Here is a 27,065-nt window from a genome sequence, read left to right on the forward strand (position 1 = left end):
CTCTTGCTGTCTGTGAAAAACAAATAGTTTGGCACTACTATGATAAGAAAAGCCCAGGGAATAAGATTCTGAAAAATTTGGGAGCACTTGATATCAAAAGAAGGAGATTTAGAATTACATATAGAAACAAATGGAAAATCAAGGCTGTTTTGAGGGGTGCTATCAGAGGGTCATTGGAGAGGATGTAGCTTTACAATATTTATATCAGGCTGTGCATTGGCAGGAGTTCTGTAGAAGTTGGACTGAAAGCTGGAGGTAATGACGTGGGTGGGGCACAGAGCAGCTAGGGAGCTCTGATGCGGCTTTTGCTTGGGGCAGAGTATGGGAAGATATGCAAACGCTGAGGCCCCAAATAGTGCAGTGGCCTTTGTGGGCAGCACTTACAGGTGGGCTTGGAAACACTTGCCTTTGGAACATTGTTTAAAAGTAAGTAGTGCTCCCAGAAGGGCTGTAATTTCTTTAGATTATCTGATAGCAGACTCCGTGATGTTTACCAGCTTCAAGGAGATCAGACCATTGTGAAATTTTTTTTTTTTTTCTGTAGTAAAACTAGCCCCAGCCAGCCCAACTGGGAATTTACTGCCTGAGCTGTTTTCCAACATAAGTTTTGCTGGCAAAACCAGACGTGAGTGTTCCCTCGACTCTAAAGGGACCTGTTTACACTGACTTTATTTTTACTGCCAGCTTTCAAGTTGGAAGAGGGAAATTACGTTTAAAGGTCAGCAGGTGAGCAGAAGGATTCCTGACCAGCCATTCCTGTGGGTGTGTGCCCGTGTGCACTCTGTGTACGTGTGTGTGCCTGTGTATATGTGTGTGCCTGTGTGTACGTGTGTGCCTGTGTATATGTGTGTGCCTGTGTGTACGTGTGTGCATGCTTTTCTAAATGCCAACCGTTGTGCTCTGCGCTGGCTGACAAGACCTGATCACTTGTTTGCGGGCATAATGATGGGTGTCAGGCTGGTTGTTGGGCAGTTTCCTATTTGTTTATTGTAAAGAAGGTAAATCAATCCGTGGGATTTTCTGGCTTGGAGAGCAAGGGGTGTTTACTGTCAACAGGATAAGGACCAGGAGATATAAGATACTGAGTTCCACGGTGCATCTAGTGTTGGGACAGGAGCATAAAAGGTGGGGAGAAGCCAACTACAGGGTATTTCTGACTTGGATGGAACTTTTAAGTACTTGGGTGGGAAATACAATTTGGAAAATTGCTCTCTGGTGAAAGCACCAGTCAATGTAGCTAACTAAGGTATGATTAGGTTGGACTCAAATTCAATTTTATCAACTCTTCTTTTTAAATTCTTTTTTTTTTAATTTCCCAAAAGATGACAGATGGATTTTCACAATTTGGAAATAAAAACATGAGTGAAGGGTTCGGAAGGCAAGTCTCTGGTCCATTACACACTTCCAGAAAAACTTAGTACCCAGAGACTCACATTACTGGGAGTGCTATCTACTCACAAGTGTTGCACTCCATTGAGAAAAAAAAAAAAACCAGGAAGTTGCTGTTCTACTGAGGACTGACCAAGAAGCCATGAAATACCTTACTGTGGGAGACTTAGAAGATTGCCTACTGAATAAGGTAAGGACAGACCCGGTCTCTCCCATGAACCCCCTCCCCATTCACACTACTTCCAAACAAACCTTCGTCCAGAAAGGATCTCAGGCTCTTTCTAAAGACACATAAAATGCTCCTCAGAAAACAGACTGTCACCTATAACAATGTTTGGGGGCTTAACATATATCAGCCTTACTTCTCTTTGAGGGTCTGGTACCCAGAGACATGCTGAGTATAGAATATAGAATGGAGAGTAGGAATCTGGGGAATGAGGGGGAACTCCAGCTCTGCCACTGACACTCGTGTGGTTGTGAGTCACTTAACCTGCCTGAGCCTTGGCCTTCTTCTCTGTAAAATGGGAATAATAATAGGAGCTTCATGGGGTAATGGAAAAAGAGCTAATGAAATTAAAACAAAGCTTTTTAAAGACTGTGAAAGTACTAGGTTTTTAAATATTATTATATTTTTAGTACACATCAGTTAAGAACTTAATTTCTTCTAGATGGTCTAGATGGTCATGTCAAATGTTAGAACTTGAAGGAAACTTAAATATTACCTAGTTTAAGCCTTTTCATTTACGGATGAAGCTACTAAGGCATGATGTTAATGTTAAAACCAAAATATTTAAATTGACTAAGAAGTAGGCACTGGTCTGCAGTTTTCATGCCTTTACAAGTTCGAAAGAGAAGATCATTATCATAGTGATAAGTAAAATGTATTTCTTAGGCAAAACCATTAAGAGAGATAAATAAGGAAAACCTGGGATGATAAAAACTAGAGTAAACAAAGTGATTTCCCATTAATTCCTCCCTTTGAGGGCTCTAAGTGGAAGAGATATTGGCTGGCATTTTTTTCGTGGGTCCTGTATTTTTTGTAAGAAAAAACTCCAAACTTTTTAGTGTGGTGTTCAAGTAACTTCAACTGCTCTATCTTTCTACCCTCCGCTCCCCCTGCATTTCCAATAGCAGAAATCCTAAACAGTGTTCGACACGTTGAATCCAGTGTGTGCTCATGTTTTGTTTGGCCTGTAGATTATTTCTAATGTTTTTCACAAACATTTCAAAATAGATTTTGCATAGAAATCCAGATTTCTGTCTTTCCAGGGGAAAAAAATCAGAATATTTCGCAACTACAGGTCCCAGTTTCTTGCCTGGAAACTGTGTGCTGGGGCTGAGTGTTTGCTAGCCAGAGCACGTGCTGGCCAATTCTCAGGAGGCTGATCCTGTGTCTGACACTTGCTCCTGGTCCCCGCTGCCTCTCTCACGTGTGTCCCCTACTCCATTCCTGTAGGTGGTTGAGTCTCCCATTTCTGCCCAACAAGAACTGGGCCCTGAGCAGGCCAAGGGCCCCAGCTCCTCCTCGCCACTTTTCTGGCTCATATTCATCCTTCAAACTCAGAGTCCACTTTCTCAAGAAAGAGTCCCTGACACCCCAGCACAAAATGATTTTGCCCACATATTCACTCCCGTTATAATTAGTATTACTGGCACCATTTATTTGATCATGAGTTTGTATATTAACTCCTGACACTTTTCTATTATCATCTTGGTTGGCAACTTACATGTCATATCATTTCATTCTTTATAAGTTTCTGGAGGGAAGAACAGTGTCTTGCATACCTTTCTTTCCTTTGACATTCAGAGTATCTTGCACATATATGATCAGAAATATCTTTAGAGTTCGTTAAAGGCAAGAGTGGTGTGGAAGGCGACAGGTCAAGGTGCATACAGGATCTCATTTAACCTAATCAACAACTATGTGATGTACATATTGCCTCCATTTTTAGAGGAGGAAACAGAGGCTTGTGGAGATTAAATAACTTGTCCAAAGTTACACAGCTAAATTGAGAGGGTACTGAAGTTTCAGCCTTGTCTTCTTTACTCCAAAGGCCGAACGTCCTCTGCCAAACTCCTCTATATCTCTGCAAACACATACTAAGCACCTGCTTTGTGCAAAATACTGTGCTACGGTTTGAGGGTAGACCAAGGCCTGAGATGTGGCCTGCTAAATGAAAGAGAAATTTTGGTTTTGGTCTCTAGGATAGCCCTGTCCCATCTGCAGATTTTGTACATAACCCCAAAGGAAGAAGGAGGGAATTTCACATGCAGTCAGGCAAGTGCTTAATAGAATGCATGGTAGACCGTAAGGGATGCAGTAGAGATTTCAACAGATTGCTGGAGGAGCACGGTGCATTAGTTGTGATGGGAAAGGTGTCTTACAGAAAGAAGAGTAGAGACAAAGCCTTGGAGGAAGTGTAGGGTTTTAATAAGTGGAGAAGTATAGGAAAGGTCTTCCAGGCTAAGGGAACCCCGTTCAAACATTCAAGGTGTATTTCATTCCCAGTCACCTTTTTCTTTTGGGGAGCAGAACAGGGCAGTGGTTACAAATATGGGCTTTGGAAGGCTGCTACCTGTGTTCTGTAACTTACTAACTTTGGGAACCTGGGCAAATTACTTAAATATTCTGAACTTTGGTTTCCTCATCTATAAAATGGGGATAATCATAGCATCCACCTTAAAGAATGATGGGTAGGCAGGAATGAGCCTACTCTTATAAAATGCCTTGCACACAGGAAGGACTAAATAATCTTAGTTTCACGGTAATGCTGCTGCTACAGCTTCTGCTACATTTGGGGGCTGCAAATATTCTGCGTGACCCAAGCATTTGATTCATGGAAGAATTAGTCTACAAAGGAAGGGATATGATGGTGGAAAGCCTATGGTCTCGTGCGTATCTATCACTGGATTTAACTTTCCATTTCTTTACATTATTAGCCCCTGAAAGACAGAGATGATGCCAGTTTTTGTTTTGTTGAAATTTTTCTAACTGATGATTGGATTTCATGCAATTCTGGAATTAAAGGTCTGACTTCTTGTTTTCTGGAAGGAAGTCCTCAGCCTTTTCTTCTCAGTAACACTCATTGGGAATGACATACACATAGTCTGCATGGTCATGGGTGTGATCAGGCCTGTGTGACATTCCTGGCATGCTACTTAGCACCACCACTCTGTCTCCATTGCAAGGAAGCGTATCGGAATGCAAGTGAGTCAGAGTGATATTATTATAGGGGATAACCTTAAATCCCCATAATTTATATTTGAAGCAGTAAATTATTCATGAACTTGAGCTATTAATAGCAGCAAATGACTTGTGGGGCAACAATGAACCTGATGCTGTGGTTAAGGAGGAGGAGGGGAAAGCAGCCCAAGATGGGACAAGGACCTTGACAGCATGGAGACATGCCTGGGAAGAGCAAGGCCCAAACAACATTTGTTTCCATGTTTTGCCATGAACTAAGTTTGGTGACAAGGTTGCCTCAAGGCTGCCTTGAAGCTGCAACTGGTATCTTGCTGGCTTCCTAAAGTTTGAGAGGCAGTAAAGGATTTCCAGGGTTGGGCTTGCAATGGGTGTCTACTTGTGTTAGAGCCTCCTTCTTTAGATCACTGTACAGCTGCCCCAACCCCACTGCCTGCTTTTCCACACCCTGAAATGAACTTCTTGCTGTATCTGTCTAGGGTGTGGCCAGAATAAGTGGAGAGAAACAGTCTGGGGGTTCTGTGTTGTCACACCATGAGGGTGACAAGAGGTGTCTGGCACTAAGCCTGGAAACCCCCAGCACAAATCACTTCTGGGGCTACCAAATAGCACGGTGATGCTGTGTGGGTAAGAACTTATTGCAGGAAGTGTAGCCAGAGATGTGGGGAGGGACAAGGCTGCCCGCCACCTAGAGAAAGAGGCTTCTGCTCAGGTCCCACAGCAGGAGCATCACTGTCTGGCCCTTGCTGCATGACCCTTTGTGCTTGTTAGATGCCAGAACAGTTGCTGATGCCTAAATACATGGAGACCTAGGACTCCTTATTTCATGAGTCTTGACTTTAAATTGAAGGCATTTTTAGGTTCAGGAAGAGGATAAAGGGTAGGCCGTACTTCTGGTACATCAGTACTTAAGGGTGTGGCAAAGTGTGATGGAAAGAAGTGTTGGAGAGCCTGTCTAATTCTACATCTAACTGCCGGTGTGATGTTAGGAAAGCTGCCTTGTCACTCTGGTCCTCCATAAAGTCACACCAGACGAGGCAATTTCTGAGGTCTCTTCCATTTCTAAGATCCTGAATCTAAGTTGCAGCAGAAGTGATGGAGGAAGAAAATTAAAACTGGAATTTGTGGTTCTAGGTCTCAAAAAGCATTATCTTATTCTGACTTTCACCTTTGGTAATCAAAACAGGTCATAAGGGTGAACTAATAACCTGTGTAACAAGTGAGAGATTATAGTTGTTTTCCAGGAGTGCGTGATCTTGTCCTGCTCGGTAAGAATTTCACCATCAAATGAGGGCACAATTTGTAGAATAGATTTACAATGAAGTACTTTTTCCAATAGGCTACTCTTCACGTGTGTTATGTGCATACATACACACATGTACATACATACACACATGCACACACACTCTTAAGCTTCTATTTAAAAATGATTTGATGGTGATGAATTTTTCATTAGTTTATTAACTCAGGAATCAAAATATACATACATATATATATATATATATATATATATATATGTATAGTCACTGCTATGTTACTAACATTCAAGTTCTATGGAATTACATCCGTGGGGCTGGCAGATTCAGGAGGCTAGTCTTGGCCTTCAACACGTTCTGAGAACTTAACTATTAGAGAATACTATTTCTCAACCACTCTGCCTGCAATGTTCTATCTAATTAACACTTTTATTACTTTTCTCCACTGTACCTGCTCAGACTTCAGGTCCCTGAAGTGGCCTAATGTTCCCTATTCTACCACTAGCTTTATCCGTTCTTTATTCCGGCTGGAAGATATAGCCCACTGCTGAAACCCTCTGTTGCTTTTTTATCTTTATCCATCTCTTGCCCAGCAAACTCCAATCTTAGCACCTCAACTCTTACCTTTGGAGGGCTAAGAGGTGGTGGAGCAGATCTCACTAACTGAACTTACTGATATCCCACAGCCTCAGGGACTCAGCCTCAGCCAAGTCTTGACACTGTCTGGTTATCTTTACTCATGCACCTAAACAGTCTCTCATTCCTTATAGCAGCTATCTCAGCAGTCTATCGCCTGAAATCTCTTGCCTTCCACTTCACTCTTAGCTCATTAACATCTCCCACTCTATAAAGAACATAGACGTCAGACTGGAAATCTCTCTGATTTTCACTGCCCCCTACCCTTTTATCTGTATCTGCATGCACCCTTTTCCCCTTCTTTCTTTCTGCCACACCAAGATGAATTCCTCACTCAGGCCTCTGGATGTGCATGACTCCTTTTGGGTGGGAAATCCTTACAAACTGGTTTTGCTCTCTGCTACCTCTTCTTTCACCACTGACTCTTTTCTCTCAGCATTTAAACATGTTTACACCTGTGTGTCATTTTGCAAGGAAAAAAAAAACTGTTCGCATCCCTGTTGTTTTGGTTTTCCCCATGGTAAAAGTTCTTGGGGCCAGGCACGGTGGCTCACACCTGTAATCCCAGCACTTTGGGAGGCCAAGGTGGGCACAGCAAGAGGTCAGGAGATTGACACCATCCTAGCTAACATGGTGAAACCCCGTCTCTACTAAAAATACAAAAATTAGCCAGGTGTGGTGGCACGTGCCTGTAGTCCCAGCTACTCGGGAGGCTGAGGCAGGACAATCACTTGAACCGAGGAGGCAGAGTTTGCAGTGAGCCAAGGTCACACCACTGCACTCCAGCCTGGCGACAGAGCGAGAATCCATCAAAAAAAAAAAAAAATTCTTGGAGGAGTTGCTTACCTCTGTCTTCACTTGGTTTTCTTCCATTCACCCTTAATCCACATTTAATGTGCACCTCTTCCCCACCATTAATGCTAGTGCCCAGTGTTCCCCCAATGCAGCAATCCTATTCTAGCTGTCAGACTCCATGGACATTTGGGGGCCTTAACTCACTCAAGCACTTACTGTTGACTTTGTTCTTGAAATTCTTCCTTTACTTTCAGGACCTCTCACGGTTTATTCTCCCACTTCACCACCTCTTCTAGGGCAATTGTGTTCTAAAAATATCACAGGAACAATTGCACAGGCATGAGGAGCACAAATTCTCTCTTTGTGCGCCTCAGGCCTGGCTCAATACCTGCTATTTTCTCATTCTAGAACAACTTTCATGCCCCCTTTTTCCTAGCTAACGCCTAGTAAGCTTTCAAGATACAACTCCAACACACTGTGCCTCCAGAAAGGCCTCCCAACCTCCAAACTGGATGAAGTATCCGTTTTCTATGTATCCATAGCATCTGTGCAAACCTCTACCTTGCACTAGATTGCAGTGATTTTAATTTCCAGGTCATCTGTCTTGCTTTGTCAAGTTATCTATAAACCTCGTGGCAACATGTATGCACAAAGCACAGCATAAAATGGATGTTCCACTCAAATTACTCAAATGGAATTGAATCACAACACAGATGGGAAGTCCTATGCTGGAGAGGACCCTTAAGTTTTGGCTTCTAAAACCTTTATTTTTGTCATTTGTTATTTTTCCCATAATAGCATCCCACAATTGTATTCTGTGCTTACATTTGTCTTCCTCACTACTGTGAATGCATGGCCGGGTCTATCTTGTGCATTGCTGTGTTCCAGCATGTAACAGTGCCCACCACAGAGGACATGCTAAACAAATACTTACTGATGAACTGACCCTATATGTGATATACAACGTGTCTAACAATAGGTGCACAGTCACATTCTTATACTATGAACATATGAAGTTGGCTTGCTGGTTGATGAGAAGTATGAGTGAGGTCTCAGGTGACTGGCCTAGTTGATGACTTAGTTTAGGAAAACAGGAATCTCTTTGACTTGGACTTTTTTTTTCTGGCTGTCGTGATCAGTTTATGGGTGTCTCAAAATGACTCTAGAATATGTAGAAACAGCCATTATACCAAATTCAGAGAGAGTATAAAGATTCATAGATGGGCATTAGATTGAGATGTATCAGATATTGCTTGAAACTGGCCCCTGGCTGAAGGAGCCTCTGAAGGAGAGTCTTGCTGTCATGACAGCAGCTTGTAGGTGCCTCCTGAGCAAGATGACAAAGTGCCCCCTCCATTTCAGAAAAAACTTGCAGACCCTTCCGTATCTTATTTGGATTTTTCTGTGTCTCTTCTGGAGTTTACTAAAAGTTCCTTTGTGTTTCCCACAAACATCTATTTCCCTAAACTTTAAGTATCTGATTAGTGTTGAGTTTTCTATGAGAATTTCCCAATTCTTCATAACTCACTGTGGTAACTTTCTGTCAGCAGAAACATGCCTTTTCTTAAGGGTCTAGAAGCAAAAGGCAGGGGTGAGTACGGAGGCAAAGAGAACCATCATTTACTGATGACATCAGTGGGAAGCAGGCTGCTGGGTGCTGATACAAGTTAAGTGGTTTAATATTCACACCATGGGCAGCAGGCGTGACAATACCATGGTAGAGTCTCACCATGGTTCACAAAACCCTGTGTGATGATCTGGTCCCTGCTTTCCTTTCCAAACTCACCTCCTATCACTTTCCTTTTGCCAGATCCAACCACAATGGCCTCACTGCTAGCCTTAGAGCATTGCCTACGTCAGAGGAGGAACATGGAATCTGCTCTCCTAAGCTGTCTTCAGCCTCACTCAAATGTCACCTCTTTAGAGAAGTCTTCTTTGTCCATTGCCCACCCTAACTAAAATAGCTGCCCCTTTATTCTCTAGTCCCTTATCATATTTTATTTTTCTTCATGGGACTTATCATACTTGATATTACATTATACACACACACACACACACACACACACACAAACACACACACACACACATATATATATACAGGAATACATATATATACACATTTATATGTGTGTCTGTGTGTATAATATCAGATATGACACTATATATTATAATATTGATATTATACATTACAATTATATATAATATAGTATGTATTATATCTACATTTATTCCTATATTTTCAGCTAGAGGGCAAGTATCTACATTGTTCACTGTTGTCTTAATCACTGTTGTGTCCCCAGCACCCAGCCTGGCACCTGCTACATAGTAGGTCCTAGATAAATATCAAATGAATGCATCTGTTACAGAAAAGAACATTGAGGCACCACCAAGTGTCTTCTCAATGGAGTCAGACCTAAATTCATCTCCCCGGCATCTTGGGAAGGCAGGATTTTTGAGCTGAACTCCCTCAGTCACCCCTTGCTGTACCCTTGTCTCCTCACTCTCTTATGCTGGTATCTTGGGGCCCACAGAGGAAATAACCACCATTGCTGGTCCCTCTCACACCCAGGTGGACTTGAGGCGCCAGCAGATTTCCCAGGCTGTGGAGGAGGTGCAGAAAGTCGTTCATCATTTGACCACAAACATCAGCAACCAAGACATTAGATTTCAAGCTGTGCCTTACTCTGACACGTACAATGAAAATATTAAGGTAAGCAAGTCTTGCTGTCTCTAAGTGCCACCAACAGAGCCAGGACACTTGGGCAGGTGAATCTCAGTGTGTGACAGATGCTTGCCTCACTCAGAATACTCATAACAATTCTTGTTTTCATAGGTATTCTTAGTTTTTACTATTTACAGTCTCATTTTATACATGTCATTTCAGCCAGCAGGGTGCCTTATGCCTATAATCCCAGCTCTTTGGGAGGCCAAGGTGGGAGGATGGCTTGAGGCCAAGAGTTTGAGACCAGCCTGGGCAATGTAGTGAGATTCTGTCTCTATAGAAAAAGAAAAAAAGATAGATGTTATTTCCTTTGAGCCCCCACATTCCTAGATGAGAAAAACTAGGCTCAGAGAAGTCAAATGACTTGATCAAGTCATATCAGGCACTAAAGCCAGAACTCACACAGAGGCTTTTGATTCCAAAGCACATTCCGCTGTCACAATCAAAGCTCAGTTAAATACACATTCATTTATTAAGCACCTACTTAATAGATTGGGGGTGGGGTGGAGGGAACTGAGGGCATCCATAAGAAGACAGTTGAAAGTCAGTCTGTGGGTTGCAGATGGGGAAGGAAGAAAGTAGAAGAGGTGCCACTGAGAAGCTGCAGGAGCAGACTGGCAACCCCTCTCCCTGCTAAAGAATCCCACCCAGTGTAAGCCAATGGGTAACACCAGCATTCAGGCAACACAGTAGTGAGGGCAGAGCTGTACACAGAGAAACGACCTTACTTAAACCTGTAAACCACCTTGTGGAAAAGACAATCTGTTCATTTCCATTTTAGAGGTAAGAGAAGTGAGATCCTGAATCATTCTGAATCTCCATTATTCTTTATCTCGATTTTTATTATGCCACCTACCTCTTTCACTTTGTATTAAATTTGTATGTATTCATGGCCCATTTCTCACAACAGACTGCACATCCCTCGATTGTAAGGACCAAGTTTACTATTCGTTTTGTTCCTAGCACCCAGCATGGTATGTGGCACATGGTAGACACTTAACATATGTGGAATGAATGAATAAATGAATGAGTAAAAGAATTAGTACCTGAGCAAAAGACCATTGCTGGCCCATTACATCTCAAGGTTGGTGGACGCAGGAACCACCTAAGAGATTCTGGGATTTGTGGATTCTGAAACAGACTCAGATTGTAGGAAATTAATCCCAGGGTGAAAATTATAAAACCAGACTGAATCCTGGAATGCTAGAATATCACTTGCCCAACTCTACCACCCAAGCCAATCTAACTTGGACACACATAGACCAGTGACTAGAAATAGAGATATTACATTACTTTTCTTAGCACTATACCCAAGGAAATTTCCTTCAGTGGTCCCACTTAGAATTCATAGCTTAAAATATATCTTGCATTTATATATGTCATGTCTCACATATTAAGTTTTGAAAATAGCTACAGCATAGCATATAAAATTGCTTTTAACTTAGATCAAAATCAACAAGTTTTTGTTTGTTTTGCTTTTTTGCCTGTTTTTTAAAGATAGGGTCTCATTCTGTCACCCAGGCCGGAGTGCAGTGCTGCGATCATGGCTCACTGCAGCCTCAACCTCCCAGGCTTAAGTGATTTTCCCACCTCAGCCACCTGAGCAGCTGGGACTACAAGTGCAAATGCCACCATGCCTGGTTAATTTTTTTATTTTTATTTTTTGTAGAGATGGATTTCATCATATTGCCCAAGCTGCTCAACAAATATCTACTAAGCACCACTTATATGACTAATAACATGATAGTTGTGCTTTTGAATTCACATGAAAGTGAATTGAAATAATGTACAGATCTGAAATTCCAGGGACTTTAGATGTTTTTCCTCTTTTTAAATCCAGCTGCCTTTCTATGGGTACCAGAAGTCATGTGGATACATCATCTAAAACATCAAACTATTGTTTTCTTAGAGTTAGACAGAACCAGCTGGAGCTGATTAGGGCTTTCCCCACTCAATGGGTCAATGACTGGCCCTGGGCAAGAGTTAACCAAATTCCATGGTCAGAGCTTTCCAGGAGGAGGAGGCAGCTGACTCACAGCCGAAGGCGTGCATGCAGTGGGACATGGTCATAGTTCAAGCTCCTTTGGCTGCTCTGTTTACCCACTTGTTCTACCTCTCGGCTGCCGGTCTGCCTGCTTTCCCCCAGTCGTTGCTTCACTGGTTCCTGGAGAAAGGGGCTAGGTAAATTCTGATTGTTTGCTTTTTTCTTTAAGCTTAGAATCATCTCAACAGCTCACATTGTCTCAACAAATAAGCTTTCATTTTGCCTTTATTTTGGAAGGGTTAGTCATGAACACTGACCATAGGTCATCAGTACAGGCCAAAAAAAAAAGGAGATATTTTACAAAATCTGTTACGTCCCCTCCTGTTACTTCCCACCTTTAATTTGTGTCAAAACATTCACCATTCCATGTCATTCATTGTTGGCTGAGTGCCAGCCCAGGGTAGAGAAATAATAACTGAACAAGCTGTCCAAAGACCTAAATTCAAATTCTGACTCTTCTACTTACTGGTTGTGTGTCCCTGAGGAGATCTCCAAGCCCCTCTGCATCTTGAATTCCTTATCTGGAAAATGGCAAGAAAGCTCACCTTACTGTGTGACTGTGAAGTTGAAATGGTCAAATGCATTAGAATTACGGTGTTGCGTCTGCATGGAACTGAATGCATACTCATTCTTCTTTCTCAAACCTTAGGTCTCCTCTGGAGTTCCTGGTTTAGTTCACTGTCTTTACTTGTATATTCATGAGATAATAAACTCAGCAGGTTAATTTACTTGCCCGAAGTATTTACAATGATTCAGTAGCAGAACAAAGAGGTAATCCACTTGTAACACCCAGGTCGAGGTCTCCGTGTATCTGGTCACTCTGCTGAGGGTGGAGTGGTTAACAGAGCTGCCTGACGAGACAGGTTGGTTCCCAGGACTTCCGTTACCTCCCGAATCTGTGAATTCATGCTTGTTTTCAATCCTTTCCTGACCCTAGGTTTTGGCTCCCAGTCAGTTCCTCGTCACAGTCCCAATAAAAGGCCTGGCCGGGTACAGGGAGGCCAGGGAGCAGCACTGGCGGTACTACACACTGCAGGGCACCAGGCTGCCCTGCCCGTTGCGGGACCCTGAGGGTCTGCAGCAGTGGCTGGAGGTGGAACAGTTTATGAAGAGCCTGTGGCAGTGGCATGAGACAGATGTGAACATCGACGGAGACATTGTGCCTGCCAAGGTCCTCCTAGTGTTCCGGAAGCTGGTGGAAAATGCAGTTAGAACCTGTCACCTCTCAGGTGAGCTGATCAGGAACAAGTGCAAGGGTAATTGCTGGCATTCCCCTTTCACTCTATAAAACCTCTGTTTGGGTGTTACCTGCAGCTCACAGCCTACATTTGAGAAAATAATCATGTGCTCTTCACATTTATTTAATCTTCATAATATGAATCAGCTTTTTTTCCTGCTGTTGATGCACAGAAGATTGGAATTCATACTAACAAAATAGTCTTGTGGCTTTAAGAAAGTTACTGTGCTGGCATAGATATAAAATGCTGTGGATTATGCACCTTAACCAGGCTTAAAAACTTAAGCGTATTGTTTTTTAAAAAAGCAAATTATTCACAAACCCCAGGTCTTCTTTATTAGCACATTTCTACTGCAGCACCTCCATCTGACTGCAGTACCACAGGGTGCTGAGATTCCACATTTGGAAACCACTAACTTGTACCAAAGCACAAAATCCAGGAGCCATAAAGAACTGACTAAGTTTGACAACTCCAAAGTCTTAAGCTACTGTACAGCATATGCATACACACACACACACACACATACACACACACACACACTCCCTTTTTGTTCACACAAAGCGAAAAGGTGAATTTCAAACTGGAAAGAAATGGCTAATTTTCTTAATTTATAAATCAATAAGAAAAAAGATGAGCTGACCAATAGAGATAATTACCAAAAAAAAAAAAGGAATCACAGAAAAAGAATACAAATGGCTTGCAAAAATAAGAAAAGGCATTCCATCTAATGTATATTTCAACGTATATTAGAATATACCTAATGTTGGGTGCATTAAAATACCTAGCAAGCTAAAAGAAATGAAAAGTTTGATCATGCTTAGTGTCGAGTGGGCATGGTGAAATGGGTATTCTCATGTTGTTATTAGAAGTGTAAATTGGTGTCTCCTTTTTAAAGGGCAAGTTGTCTATATTTTATTTTTATAATGTGCTTACTTGACAATTCAACAATTCCAGTTCTAGAAATATATTTCTACAAATACACAAAGAATTGTGCACCAGGATATTCTCTGCCATAGGTTTTATAATAGTAAATAGCTAGAAGTAATCTAAATGGCTAACAAAGGAAAATTGGCTAAATTAAATTATGCTATCTCTGCCTACTGGACTACTATGCAGCCTTTAAAAAGAACAGGCATATGCCCATGCATACATACAGAGCTATGAAAAATGCATGTGCTAAATAGTTAAGTGAAAAACCAAACTGCTAAACAATATGAGATTCCATCTGTGTGAAAATAAAAGGATGTATTCATACATACATTTGTTTGTCTAGACAGAATAGTTCTGAAAATTTCCATAATGGTAATAGTTTATGTTTAATAGATTTTTTTACTAAGTAGAATAAGTTTCATGGGTTATTTAATTTAATCCTCATAACCACACAATACAGTAAGAATTCTTTTCCTACCTGTTTTAGAGATGAGGAAACTGAGACTTAGAGAGATTAAGTCACTTCTGAAGTTCACACACCTCATAAGCAGAGCCAGCTGCAGGGCAGGGTGTGGGCCGGCAGGGTGTGGGCCGGCAGGCTGGCTGCAGCATCGGCTCACCTCTTATGCTGTGCGACATTATTCATGGTGAAAGTGCAAAGCAGAGATTCAGAATGGGCAAGGTTTATGAGGCGCTTTTAGTAAATAATGCTAAAGTGCCAGTTGTCATGTTCCTGTCTGGGCAGCTCTGATGAGATGCAGACAAGCCCTTTATCCCACCCTGGCCAGGGAATGTTTCCCTTTTGAACAGCCTAACACAATTAATGTGCTTCCATTTTCTTCTCTGTGCAAGGAAATGCAAAATAATAGATTCCAATCTATTTCAAGAATTGGGATGAGCAAATAAGGATGAATAGATCCTGATCTATTCAAGACTGCTTATCTTTATCTGCAATGAAGGCAAACAAACAAAAACTGTACCTTTTGAAAGAAGAAGGAGCAAATTGGAAATGAGGAAATTATAGTATGTGAGCTGGAAAACTACTAGATGCGTTAGTTTTCTCTTCTTCTCTTTGCCTGGTTGGAAAACGAGGCAATGGAGACTTCTTTCAAATCACTCAATCCTCTGAAACAGTGGCTGTGACGTGCTTTGATGTATTTTGTGGTTACAGGGGTTTCTGATGATAGATACCTCTGAGGCTCGGCTGGCTGAATGGATGGTAAAAACAAATACCATCTAAGAGACTGAGGCTCAGATAAAAGAAAGGTGAAGCCAAATTTCACCAAAGGCATATGCATAAATAAGGAGGCTGATGCTGTCCCTAACCAGTGTCAGAATATCTAGGTGAAGAGGGAAAAAAAATGGCATTAGCCTTCCCTATGTTTGCATTACTCTGAAAACCAACATTTAGATATTTGGGTGGAATGGAGAAGGATATAGAAAAATAGTTAGGTTTCATTTTTACAGTAGCAAATACAGAAGTTCCCCAACTTGCCATGGCTCAACATATGATTTTTTTACTTTACAAGGGTGCGAAAGTGATACATGTTTAGTAGAACCCATACTTCGAGTACCCATACAACCATTCAATGAATTCCATGAGATATTCAACACTTTATTATAAAATAGGCTTTGTGTTAGATGATTTTGCCCAACTGTAAGTTAATGTAAGTGTTCTGAGCACTTTTAAGGTAGGGTAGGCTAAGCTATGATGTTTGGTAGGTTCGGTGTATTAATACATTTTCAACTTAGAATATTTTCAGCTTCATCAGGATGTGACCTCATCGTAAGTCAAGGAGCATCTATACTACACTTTTTCTTTTTATTCTATGGCTTTTACTTTCAGTTGATCCTCCTGAAAAGAATCTATTAATTTAAAAGAAAAGGTACCCCAAATGCCTTGGGGTTGGGGGAGAAAGAAAAACTCACCAGCAATGAGACTTCTTAGTAATGTTCCGATGCTGGCTAGCTGACTAACCATCTGGTTTTGATGTCAAAACCTTGACGTGCTACAGGCATTGTGATCCTTCACGTGCTACAGACATTGTGAAAGTTGCCACACCAGTTGCAAGGTGCTGGTCAGAGCAACTGCTCACAAATTTCTTGTTTGAACGCTTGTAATGTGCAAACCTTTCTCTTCTCCTTATCCATTTGGTCATTTCCCACCAGGTAAGGTCAGCCTGCTAGGAAACCGCTCTGCAGTTTGGGTTGCTGTGGAAACATCTGCATATCAGGTGGAACTGGAGCTGGTCCCCGCAGTGGAGATCCCCACCACCTGGTCCAAGAAAGCCCGGTGGCCTCGATGTCTGCAGCGCTGGCCTTCCCAAGAGAGAGTGGAGTGCATCAAGGTATCAGTGGGCGGGACCCAGCTTGCCAGAGCAGTGATGCCAACAGCTTAACCAGTCACAGCATTACTGACTGCCAATGAGTTTCCGAAGGAAAGTTGAGGTGTTACTAGATCAGCAGTTCTCAAAGTGTGGGCCCTGCAGCAGCGTCACCTGAGAACTTGTTAGAAATGCAGCTTCCCGAGCCCCCACTCTGGACCTGCTGAATGAGACCCTGTGAACAGGGCCCAGCAATCTGTGTTTTAAGAAGCCCTCTGGGTGATGTGATTCTGATGTATGCTCAAGTTGGAGAACTGCTGTAGGAGAGGAAGTGGGCACCATCTTCTAACTGTCCACATCCAAGGTGGCTTGTGGTCTCCCTGGCACCCCCTTCTCATCCCCACGTAGGATGTGCTGTCTGCCTGGTGACAAGTTCCCCAGACCAGCAGACTGCTTCAGAAATGGCTTTCTACACCAGTGAGCATTGTTCTTCTTATTTCCCAATATTTTTCTCTTTCTTCCAGTCGTTTGGATTTAACTTGTTGGCCTGTTCAAATTATCACTGGCAGCTGAGCTTCCTCCGTGCTGAGCAGGTGTTACTGGAACAGCTGGATGAAGATGGGGGCTGCCGTAGGAAGTGTTTTCAGGTCATGAGGCACCTGAAGGAGGACATCTGGTGCCCAGGGAACAGGCCGGTTATCACGTCCCACCATCTGCAGGTGAGTGTGGGGCAGGTTGGAGAAGACCCAGGGGCAGCTTTGGATAGGTCATTCTTCCTGTGGCCTCTGTAGGGCCTGGCCAGAGCCACTCAGAAGGGGTAGCATGTGTGAAAAATTCAGGATGAGGTTCTAGTATCTATATTTGCCATCCAACAAATTACTACGTATTATGGAAATATGTAAACTAGCACCATATGGGAGTCCACAACACCCCTGCCCAGGGTAAAATTTCCTCCCTCCCTTCCCTTTTCCAATTCTCTTCTATCCCACTTTTCCTCCCCTCTCACTTTTATTTTACCCACCAAACCAACCTGAGTGCTCACTAGGTGCCAGAAACCCTGCTGAGGTTCAGAAATGAATCACAAAATGTGGTTTGTGCCTCACACTTTGATGGCTTTATGTTTGCGCCAGTCTTTAAACCCACTGCAGCCTACGCACACCTCCTCATGCACACAGACCCACTAACACAGAGGGGACCAGGAAATGCAACACAGAGGTTACCACACACGTAGTGCCACACACTTCTTTCCAGGGTCCAAATCACCAGGCAAGGATCTTCCCTTGCTCTGCCAGCCCCTGCCTCTCCTTGCCCTAAACCCAACAGTACACATTCATTCATGCCTTCACTCACTCATTCAGCAAGTGTTTATTGAGATTACTCTGGGCCAGAGGCCTGCCCCAGTACCTGCTGTGGGCTCAACCTCTGCAGGCACAAAGGTGAACAGACACAGATGTGTTTCCTCACTCATGGCACTTCTGGTCTAGCATGGGAGATAGACATGGGTCAGGCAAGCCAGTGGGTGCGTGTACAATCACACAGTGAGGAAGCACTGGAAAGGGAGGAGTATGGCTCTGTGAAGGCTCAGAGCAGCAGAGCCTGACCTGGACTGGGCAGTCAGGGGGCCTCCCTGGAGAGGGGGCCTTTGACCACCCTCCCGACTCCCTCTTTCTCAAATTGTGAACCACACAGAGTGAAGTGTACTCTCATGTAGCAGCTCTGTGCAGCCTGCTGGAGTAGGGAGGTAGGAGACTCTTGCAGGACACCCCAGCCCAGCCTAGCTAGTGTGGGCTGTGAAGCCTAGCTTCAGCCCTCCTCCCTGGCCCCAGAAAGGATGGACTCCCTTTCTACTCAGGTAAGCACAAGTCCCTGGGGCAGTCACCTATCTGTGAGGTGCCTTCCTCACATACCTCTTCCTTCTCTCATTCGATGGACAAAACTGTCTTCCAGCCCCATGTTACTCTGTCTGCTCTAAAGTAACTTATTGAAGGACAGATACCACATTGATCTTGTCCAGCTGGCATGCTGACCTAACTCGATGTTCTTATTCATTGGGAGAAGGTGAACAAAACCCCCATTATCTCTCCCAATGCTTTGTACATAGTAGCGCATTAAATATTTGTTGAGCAAATGAATGAGTGGCTTCACATCTTACTCAACTTTTCTCTTTTTTTCGCACAAAATCACTAACCTTGCTTCACCTTCTTATCTTTCCAATAACCTGTCCATTTTGACCTGCGGAAGAATCTGTTAACATCTCATTCACATGCACTGGGGCTTTTCTCTGGAGTTCCAACATTCTCAACGTGTCCCAAGCACACTTCCCTAAAAACACGCAGGCTGTTCTCCTGGATGGAGGGCATGTGCTTGCAGAAGATACTTTGATTCTTTCTGTGGATTTAGCTTCTCTTGCTTTCCTTTATACAGGCCACACTAGAAGAGGCAGAGCTGAGACGCAAACTCAAGTCTATCTCATATCAAAACCTCATAACCTTAACGATTGACTTCATTACCTCTCAATTAAGATGGATGGAAATACCATTCGGTGACATGAATATTTCAGGCAGGATTGAATGGGGCCACCATGGATCTCCCAGCCATGGCTGCTTGCAAATCTGTACTCCCCACAAGGGCTGACTTCTATTCTGATGGCTCCTAAGTCACCTGGTGGATTTTAAGGCAACTCCTTAAGGATTCTCTGTTTCAATCCTCCCTGACCCACCTGTGTGGCACAATAGGGCATCCTCAAGGATGGGCATTTTTTTTAAGTGGGCTATTTCTGGAGTAAGATAAACAGAAAGTGCTAACTGCCTTTTTCTCTGGTCTTCCATCCTTAGTCCACAGACAGAATTATCTCCCATTTAGGCATCCCTGCCCTTGAAATGAATGTGGCTGGTGATAAATGTGGTGCTAGACACCATCCCAGATGATGACTTGAGTGTGCTGGATCCTTGCCAAATCTTCATTTTGAGGAAAGTGGAAGAGGTTGGGTTGCAAAACAGCATTAGGAAGCTGTGGCACTCAGCCTTGCCTCACCTTAAGTCTGACACTCTCTTACAAGGCCCTCACCTTCTCCCCAAAAAGGCTCTGCCCCAAGACTATTTCATGTGAAGCAAAAGCTTATCTTTTATTGCCTTATTTATTCCTAAAACCCACTCAAAATACATTGGCTTGCTTATAATGAGCTTAACTGCCCCAGTTTGCTTAGGGAGATAAAAGCTTAATTAACAAGAGGAATTAACATTTTTTCTGGTATCTAGGTTATCTTCGCTTGCATGAAATTATCTCTAACTCATTTATTCATAATAACGTAATCTAAATACATAGTTGCTATGAACTTACAACTGCTCTAAAAAATAAAGACTGTATAAAAATAACCCAATATCTAAACCATAACATTAATGGATAATTCATTAATTCACTTATTCAATAAATGTTTATTAACTTCCTCTCATGGGCTAGCCTTTGCTGGGTACTGGGTAGCTTAATAGTGAATAAAAATAGGCATCATTCACTGCTCTCATAAAGTTTATAATCCAGTAGGGGAAATGATAAAATTAATCACATAAATATAAAAACTACTACTGTTGTCGCTGCTTCTTATGAGAAGTACATGACTAAGAGAGTGTGCAATGGGTGTACTAGGGAAATTTGATCTGATGGACAAAGAAGGGAAAGAAGTGTGCCCTATGCAGCCGAAGCAGGATGTGCAAAGGCTCTGTGGTAGAAGGGAGCATGAAATGGCTGGTGTGGCTACATGAAGAGAGCAAGGGAGGACACAGGTCAAGATGAGTCTGGAAAGGAAGGCAGGGACCAAACCTTATAAACCACACCACATTAAGGATGATGTTTTTAGCTAACAAACAATGGGAAGACCTTGAAGTATTTTATTTTATTAATTTTTTTTTTGTTTTTGAGACGGAGTCTCGCTTTGTTGCCCAGGCTGGAGTGCAGCGGCATGATCTTGGCTCACTGCAAGCTCCACCTTCTGGGTTCACGCCATTCTCCTGCCTTAGCCTCCCAAGTAGCTGGGACTACAGGCACCCGCCACCACGCCTGGCTAATTTTTTGTATTTTTAGTAGAGATGGGGTTTCACCGTGTTAGCCAGGATGGGACCTTGAAGTATTTTAGATGAGAAGGGAAGTAGATGTATATTGGCAGCAGTATGGATGGTGATAATTTGGATGGTGGCAAGAACAGGGATGGGCTGATGAGATCGCTACTGCAGAGGTCCAGTGAGATGTGGAGGCAGTGTGGAGGGGGATGGTAGAATAATACTGGAGGTGAAGGTAAATGGGTAGACTCGAGAAATACTTAGACAAGAGGATTACAGGACTTGACTGGGGACGGTAAGGGAGAAGGGCGACTCCTAGGTTTTCGTGTTGCACAACTAGCTAGTTAAGCAACTCTGGAGGCAGATCAGGTTTGTGCAGGAAGAGCAGGGGTTCAGTTTGGGCATGTTGGGACTGAGATAACTTTCAGATACTCAAGAGATACACGATAAGCAGGTCAGAGGAGAAGTCTGGGCTGGAGACACAAATTTGCAAGTCATTCATATGTAGTGAGAATTAGAGCTGCTGTGGTGGAGGCAACATAGAGCTGAGGAATGAATGTAGACTGAGAGGAGAAGAGGGCCTAGAATTGAGCCTCCAGAAACTCCACTTCTCAAAGGCAGGCCAAGGAGTAAAAGCCTGCCAGGGAGGCGCTGTAATGCTAGGAGAAAAAACCCAGAGAGCAGATTGCTTGGAAGTCAAGTGAAGGATGGCTCAGGAGGGAGGGTGTGGGCGAGAGAACCAGGTCTGCTGAAAGGTCAGGTAAGGTGCAGGCTGACAAAGGCCTATTAGATTTAGAAAAGTGGAGATCACTGGGCCTTGACGAGAGGAGCCTTTGAGGATTAATGAGAGAAGAATCCATATTGGAGCAGACTGAGGCAAGAAATGGGAGGAGAGGAAATGACCACAAATAATAGAGCCGACTCTCCAGAGAAGCCTGGATTTGCAGAGGGAAGAGTGAGGGCAGGAGGCAGATGTGGGGTTGGGGTTGCAGGAGAGCTCTCAACTTGTGAAAAGCAGTTGAGGAAGAGGGTAATCAGTCATATACAGTTCCTGGAAGATGGGATCCAGGGCCCTGTGGAGGGATCAGCCCCACAGGCAGAAGAGGCAGAAGCAGGGAGGAAGAGAGGTGGGTGCCGCAGTAGGCAAGATCTGTCTGGTTTGGGAGGATGAGGGGTTCCATTTTCCCCGTAAAGTAGGAGGCAAAGACATTGCCTGGATTAGTGAACATTGGAAATGTTGGAGGAGAGTGAGGGAATAGATTAGGGAAGAGGTGCGGGAGACCAGCTGGTAAACTGAAGGCCCACCTGAAGTTGGGGATTGTGAATTCATGGTAGATCCAGTCTGCCCAGGCAACTCTTTTCTCCCTCCTTCCAAGGCCACATAAGCTCAATAATTGTTTCCAAGCTATCCTCCTCAATTGCCCGAAACAATGTCTGACAGCACTTCTCCCTTCCACAGACTGTGCTCTTTTGGACCTGCGAGAAATATCCCCACTTTAAAGACTGGCAGGTCTTCAGCAAAGCATTTCTGCGCCTGGTGAGGAAACTGCACAAGTGCGTGAGCCAGCACTTCCTGAAACACTATTTCGTCCGGAACAGCAACCTCTTTCAGTGCACCAACCCGACTGAACTGGACACTGTGGCCCAAAAGCTGGCCACCTTCCTGAAGAACCCCCAGATCGGCCCGCCCTGATGGTTGCCCCGGCCTGGGAGGCTCTTGGACATTTTATTCTGGCTTAACATTGTTCTTTGGATGGTTCCTCAGTCAGGTGCCAGGATCCTGCCTAGGAGAAAGGCCACGAATGGCAGCGGAAATTACATCAAACCAGAAACACTTCAGCAGGGGGAAAACTGTGCCCCAGGATGTCTGGCCCAGGCCTCCCTGGAGCCCAGCAAGCATTTCTGCCCTAGCTAATTCTCCTGGAGACAGCTCTCATCAGGCTTCCCCAGGCACAGATTTGGAACTGGTGACAGTTCTGAACTTAGTTTCCCTTGTTCAGGCTGTGATCGTCTCACAGTGAAGATGGAGACAGAACCCCTGGAAGTCTGGACATGAGCCTGCTGGCCAATACTGTGCCCAGCCCACTGATCATGGGCACATTCTCCTGCCATTTGTAAAATGGGAATGTTAACGTGCCTACCTCTGAGCAGGGCTGTGTGCCTATGAAACTGTGCTGGCGCCTTTTCAAGGGGAAGGCATTGGATCAACACAAAGTGTTCCTGGTTGGTTGAGTAGCTGGTGTTTGCATCCTGGATCGGTACCCACAGCACTGACGCAAAATTGCACCTGATGAGTTAGTGAGCCTGTGCTTCCTTGCTGCCCTCCAGCTTCCTTAGCATGTGGGTCAGTGGCTCCTGATGTTCTGTCTGCTTCGCTGGTATTCTCTAAGCAGGGAGGGGAATGGTTTTGATGATAAGTGTAAGTCAAAGATGAAAGTACAACTCTTGGCCTGATCCCAACCATAGCCCTCTCTTTGCTTCCCATGCCATGGGCCATGGATGGAACTTCCTTATATATTTATGTAAATAACCTAGTACTATGATCTGCATGGAGTGACCTTAGGTGTCTGTCACTGCTCAGTGTGTTCCTTTGCTCACTTCATTCACTCACTCACTCATTGACAAATAATGCTCATTAGGCACCGGGAACACAGCAAAGAGCAAAGTGGATGAGGACCTCCCCCTGGGGATGCCACCTAATGGTGGAGACAAGAAATGAACGACAGATAAACACGCACAGTTATTACAGATGGAAGCAAGTGCTTCAAAGGAAATAAACAGAATGTTGAAGTAGAGTCCACAGAAAGGTCCCCGAAGGATGAAAATGCAAATAGCTGAAGGGGAAGGAAAAGTGACCAAAGGCAGGCATGGTGGGGCTGGCATGAGTCAGAGCACCTGGCCTTGTAAAGCCAGGAAGGAATCAGTATTTTATTCTAAGATCAAAGGTGTGACATTTGGCCTCTCCAGAAGCAGAAGAGTATCACGATCTGACTGCATTTTAAACAATTGTTCTGGTAACTGCATGAAGAAGGTCTGGGGACTCACACAGGAGCTGGGCACTGAGTGCTCTTGAGCCACCCATTTGGAATTTCACAGAGGCCCACAAGGCAACATATTCTGTGTGGCACAACCGATCAGGAATTCTAGGAGTTCTCGGTGAGATCAATGGTTTTTTTCTGGCGTTTATGTAATGCTTCTCAACTCAAGGGGCTCCTTTATTACTTTTGAATGTTTTTGCCCAAATGTCTATACCAAAGATAAATTTCTAAAGCATGAACTACTGATTTTGTTTTCATGAAAATTCACATTTGAAAATGAAAATGATTACTTTTCAAAAGTACTGTAAACGGCAGGAAAGATCCAAAATTGACACCCTAACATCACAATTAAAAGAACTAGAAAAGCAAGAGCAAACACATTCAAAAGCTAGCAGAAGGCAAGAAATAACTAAAATCAGAGCAGAACTGAAGGAAATAGAGACACAAAAAACCCTTCAAAAAATTAATAGATCCAGGAGCTGGTTTTTTGAAAGGATCAACAAAATTGATAGACTGCTAGCAAGACTAATAAAGAAAAAAAGAGAGAAGAATCAAATAGATGCAATAAAAAATGATAAAGGGGATATCACCACCGATCCCACAGAAATACAAACTACCATCAGAGAATACTACAAACTCCTCTACGCAAATAAACTAGAAAATCTAGAAGAAATGGATAAATTCCTCAACACATACACTCTCCCAAGACTAAACCAGGAAGAAGTTGAATCTCTGAATAGACCAATAACAGGATCTGAAATTGTGGCAATAATCAATAGCTTACCAACCAAAAAGAGTCCAGGACCAGATGGATTCACAGCCGAATTCTACCAGAGGTACAAGGAGGAACTAGTACCATTCCTTCTGAAACTATTCCAATCAATTGAAAAAGAGGGAATCCTCCCTAACTCATTTTATGAGGCCAGCATCATCCTGATACCAAAGCCGGGCAGAGACACAACTAAAAAAGAGAATTTTAGACCAATATCCTTGTTGAACATTGATGCAAAAATCCTCAGTAAAATTCTGGCAAACCGAATCCAGCAGCACATCAAAAAGCTTATCCACCATGATCAAGTGGGCTTCATCCCTGGGATGCAAGGCTGGTTCAATATACGCAAATCAATAAATGTAATCCAGCATATAAACAGAACCAAAGACAAAAACCACATGATTATCTCAATAGATGCAGAAAAGGCCTTTGACAAAATTCAACAACCTTCATGCTAAAAACTCTCAATAAATTAGGTATTGATGGGACGTATTTCAAAATAATAAGAGCTATCTATGACAAACCCACAGGCAATATCATACTGAATGGGCAAAAACTGGAAGCATTCCCTTTGAAAACTGGCACAAGACAGGGATGCCCTCTCTCACCACTCCTATTCAACATAGTGTTGGAAGTTCTGGCCAGGGCAATTAGGCAGGAGAAGGAAATAAAGGGTATTCAATTAGGAAAAGAGGAAGTCAAATTGTCCCTGTTTGCAGACAACATGATTGTATATCTAGAAAACCCCATTGTCTCAGCCCAAAATCTCCTTAAGCTGATAAGCAACTTCAGCAAAGTCTCAGGATACAAAATCAAAGTACAAAAATCACAAGCATTCTTATACACCAATAACAGACAGAGAGCCAAATCATGAGTGAACTCCCATTCACAATTGCTTCAAAGAGAATAAAATACTTAGGAATCCAACTTACAAGGGACGTGAAGGACCTCTTCAAGGAGAACTACAAACCACTGCTCAATGAAATAAAAGAGGATACAAACAAATGGAAGAACATTCCATGCTCATGGGTAGGAAGAATCAATATCGTCAAAATGGCCAGACTGCCCAAGGTAATTTACAGATTCAATGCCATCCCCATCAAGCTACCAATGACTTTCTTCACAGAATTGGAAAAAACTACTTTAAAGTTCATATGGAACCAAAAAAGAGCCTGCATTGCCAAGTCAATTCTAAGCCAAAAGAACAAAGCTGGAGGCATCACACTACCTGACTTCAAACTATACTACAAGGCTACAGTAACCAAAACAGCATGGTACTGGTACCAAAACAGGGATATAGATCAATGGAACAGAACAGAGCCCTCAGAAATAACGCCGCATATCTACAACTATCTGATCTTTGACAAACCTGAGAAAAACAAGCAATGGGGAAAGGATTCCCTATTTAATAAATGGTGCTGGGAAAACTGGCTAGCCATATGTAGAAAGCTGAAACTGGATCCCTTCCTTACACCTTATACAAAAATTAATTCAAGATGGATTAAAGACTTAAACGTTAGACCTAAAACCATAAAAACCCTAGAAGAAAACCTAGGCATTACCATTCAGGACATAGGCATGGGCAAGGACTTCATGTCTAAAACACCAAAAGCAATGGCAACAAAAGCCAAAATTGACAAATGGGATCTAATTAAACTAAAGAGCTTCTGCACAGCAAAAGAAACTACCATCAGAGTGAACAGGCAACCTACAAAATGGGAGAAAATTTTCACAACCTACTCATCTGACAAAGGGCTAATATCCAGAATCTACAATGAACTCAAACAAATTTACAAGAAAAAAACAAACAACCCCAACAAAAAGTGGGTGAAGGACATGAACAGACACTTCTCAAAAGAAGACATTTATGCAGCCAAAAATCACATGAAAAATGCTCATCATCACTGGCCATCAGAGAAATGCAAATCAAAACCACAGTGAGATACCATCTCACACCAGTTAGAATGGCAATCATTAAAAAGTCAGGAAACAACAGGTGCTGGAGAGGATGTGGAGAAATAGGAAAACTTTTACACTGTTGGTGGGACTGTAAACTAGTTCAACCATTATGGAAGTCAGTGTGGCGATTCCTCAGGGATCTAGAACTAGAAATACCATTTGACCCAGCCATCCCATTACTGGGTATATACCCAAAGGACTATAAATCATGCTGCTATAAAGACACATGCACACGTATGTTTATTGCGGCATTATTCACAATAGCAGACTTGGAACCAACCCAAATATCCAACAATGATAGAGTGGATTAAGAAAATGTGGCACATATACACCATGGAATACTATGCAGCCATAAAAAATGATGAGTTCATGTCCTTTGTAGGGACATGGGTGAAATTGGAAATCATCATTCTCAGTAAACTATCGCAAGAACAAAAAACCAAACACTGCATATTCTCACTCATAGGTGGGAATTGAACAATGAGAACACATGGACACATTAAGGGTAACATCACACTCTGGGGACTGTTGTGGGGTGGGGGGAGGGGGGAGGGATAGCATTGGGAGATATACCTAATGCTAGATGACGAGTTAGTGGGTGCAGCGCACCAGCATGGCACATGTATACATATGTAACTAACCTGCACATTGTGCACATGTACCCTAAAACTTAAAGTATGATTAAAAAAAAAAAGTACTGTAACCAAA

The 27,065-nt window shown here is 43.0% G+C and overlaps 1 protein-coding gene and 1 long non-coding RNA gene across 4 annotated transcripts, besides 1 other annotated feature; one reads left to right on the forward strand and one right to left on the reverse strand.

Moving 5' to 3' along the window:
* The first annotated feature begins 314 nt into the window (after positions 1-314).
* MAB21L3 (mab-21 like 3) lies at positions 315-27,065 on the forward strand. Of its 2 annotated transcripts, NM_152367.3 has the most exons (8): positions 315-426; positions 545-726; positions 1,323-1,579; positions 9,848-9,988; positions 12,982-13,273; positions 16,382-16,560; positions 17,061-17,255; positions 22,048-27,065. In NM_152367.3, exons 3-8 carry the CDS (start codon positions 1,532-1,534, stop codon positions 22,279-22,281), a joined length of 1,089 nt encoding a protein of 362 aa, NP_689580.2. In that variant the 5' UTR covers positions 315-426; positions 545-726; positions 1,323-1,531; the 3' UTR covers positions 22,282-27,065. The 2 variants fall into 2 exon arrangements, with proteins under 2 accessions (NP_689580.2, XP_047300779.1); XM_047444823.1 differs by having other exon boundaries at positions 315-726.
* Positions 5,088-5,237: an enhancer, noted in NCBI's record as "active region_1556". NCBI's record gives its function as "activates an Ori minimal core promoter by ATAC-STARR-seq in GM12878 lymphoblastoid cells {active_cell/tissue: GM12878}" and the evidence as "EXISTENCE:reporter gene assay evidence [ECO:0000049][PMID:35858748]".
* On the reverse strand, positions 10,236-13,077 carry LOC105378918 (uncharacterized). Of its 2 annotated transcripts, none has more exons than XR_947726.2 (3): positions 12,590-13,077; positions 11,047-11,131; positions 10,236-10,274 (listed from the first exon to the last, which is right to left on the reverse strand). It is a non-coding gene; the product is annotated as an uncharacterized LOC105378918 (long non-coding RNA). The 2 variants fall into 2 exon arrangements; XR_947725.2 differs by having other exon boundaries at positions 12,511-13,077.

This window comes from Homo sapiens, chromosome 1 (genome assembly GCF_000001405.40).
Source record: "Homo sapiens chromosome 1, GRCh38.p14 Primary Assembly".
NCBI classification, from domain to species: domain Eukaryota; kingdom Metazoa; phylum Chordata; class Mammalia; order Primates; family Hominidae; genus Homo; species Homo sapiens.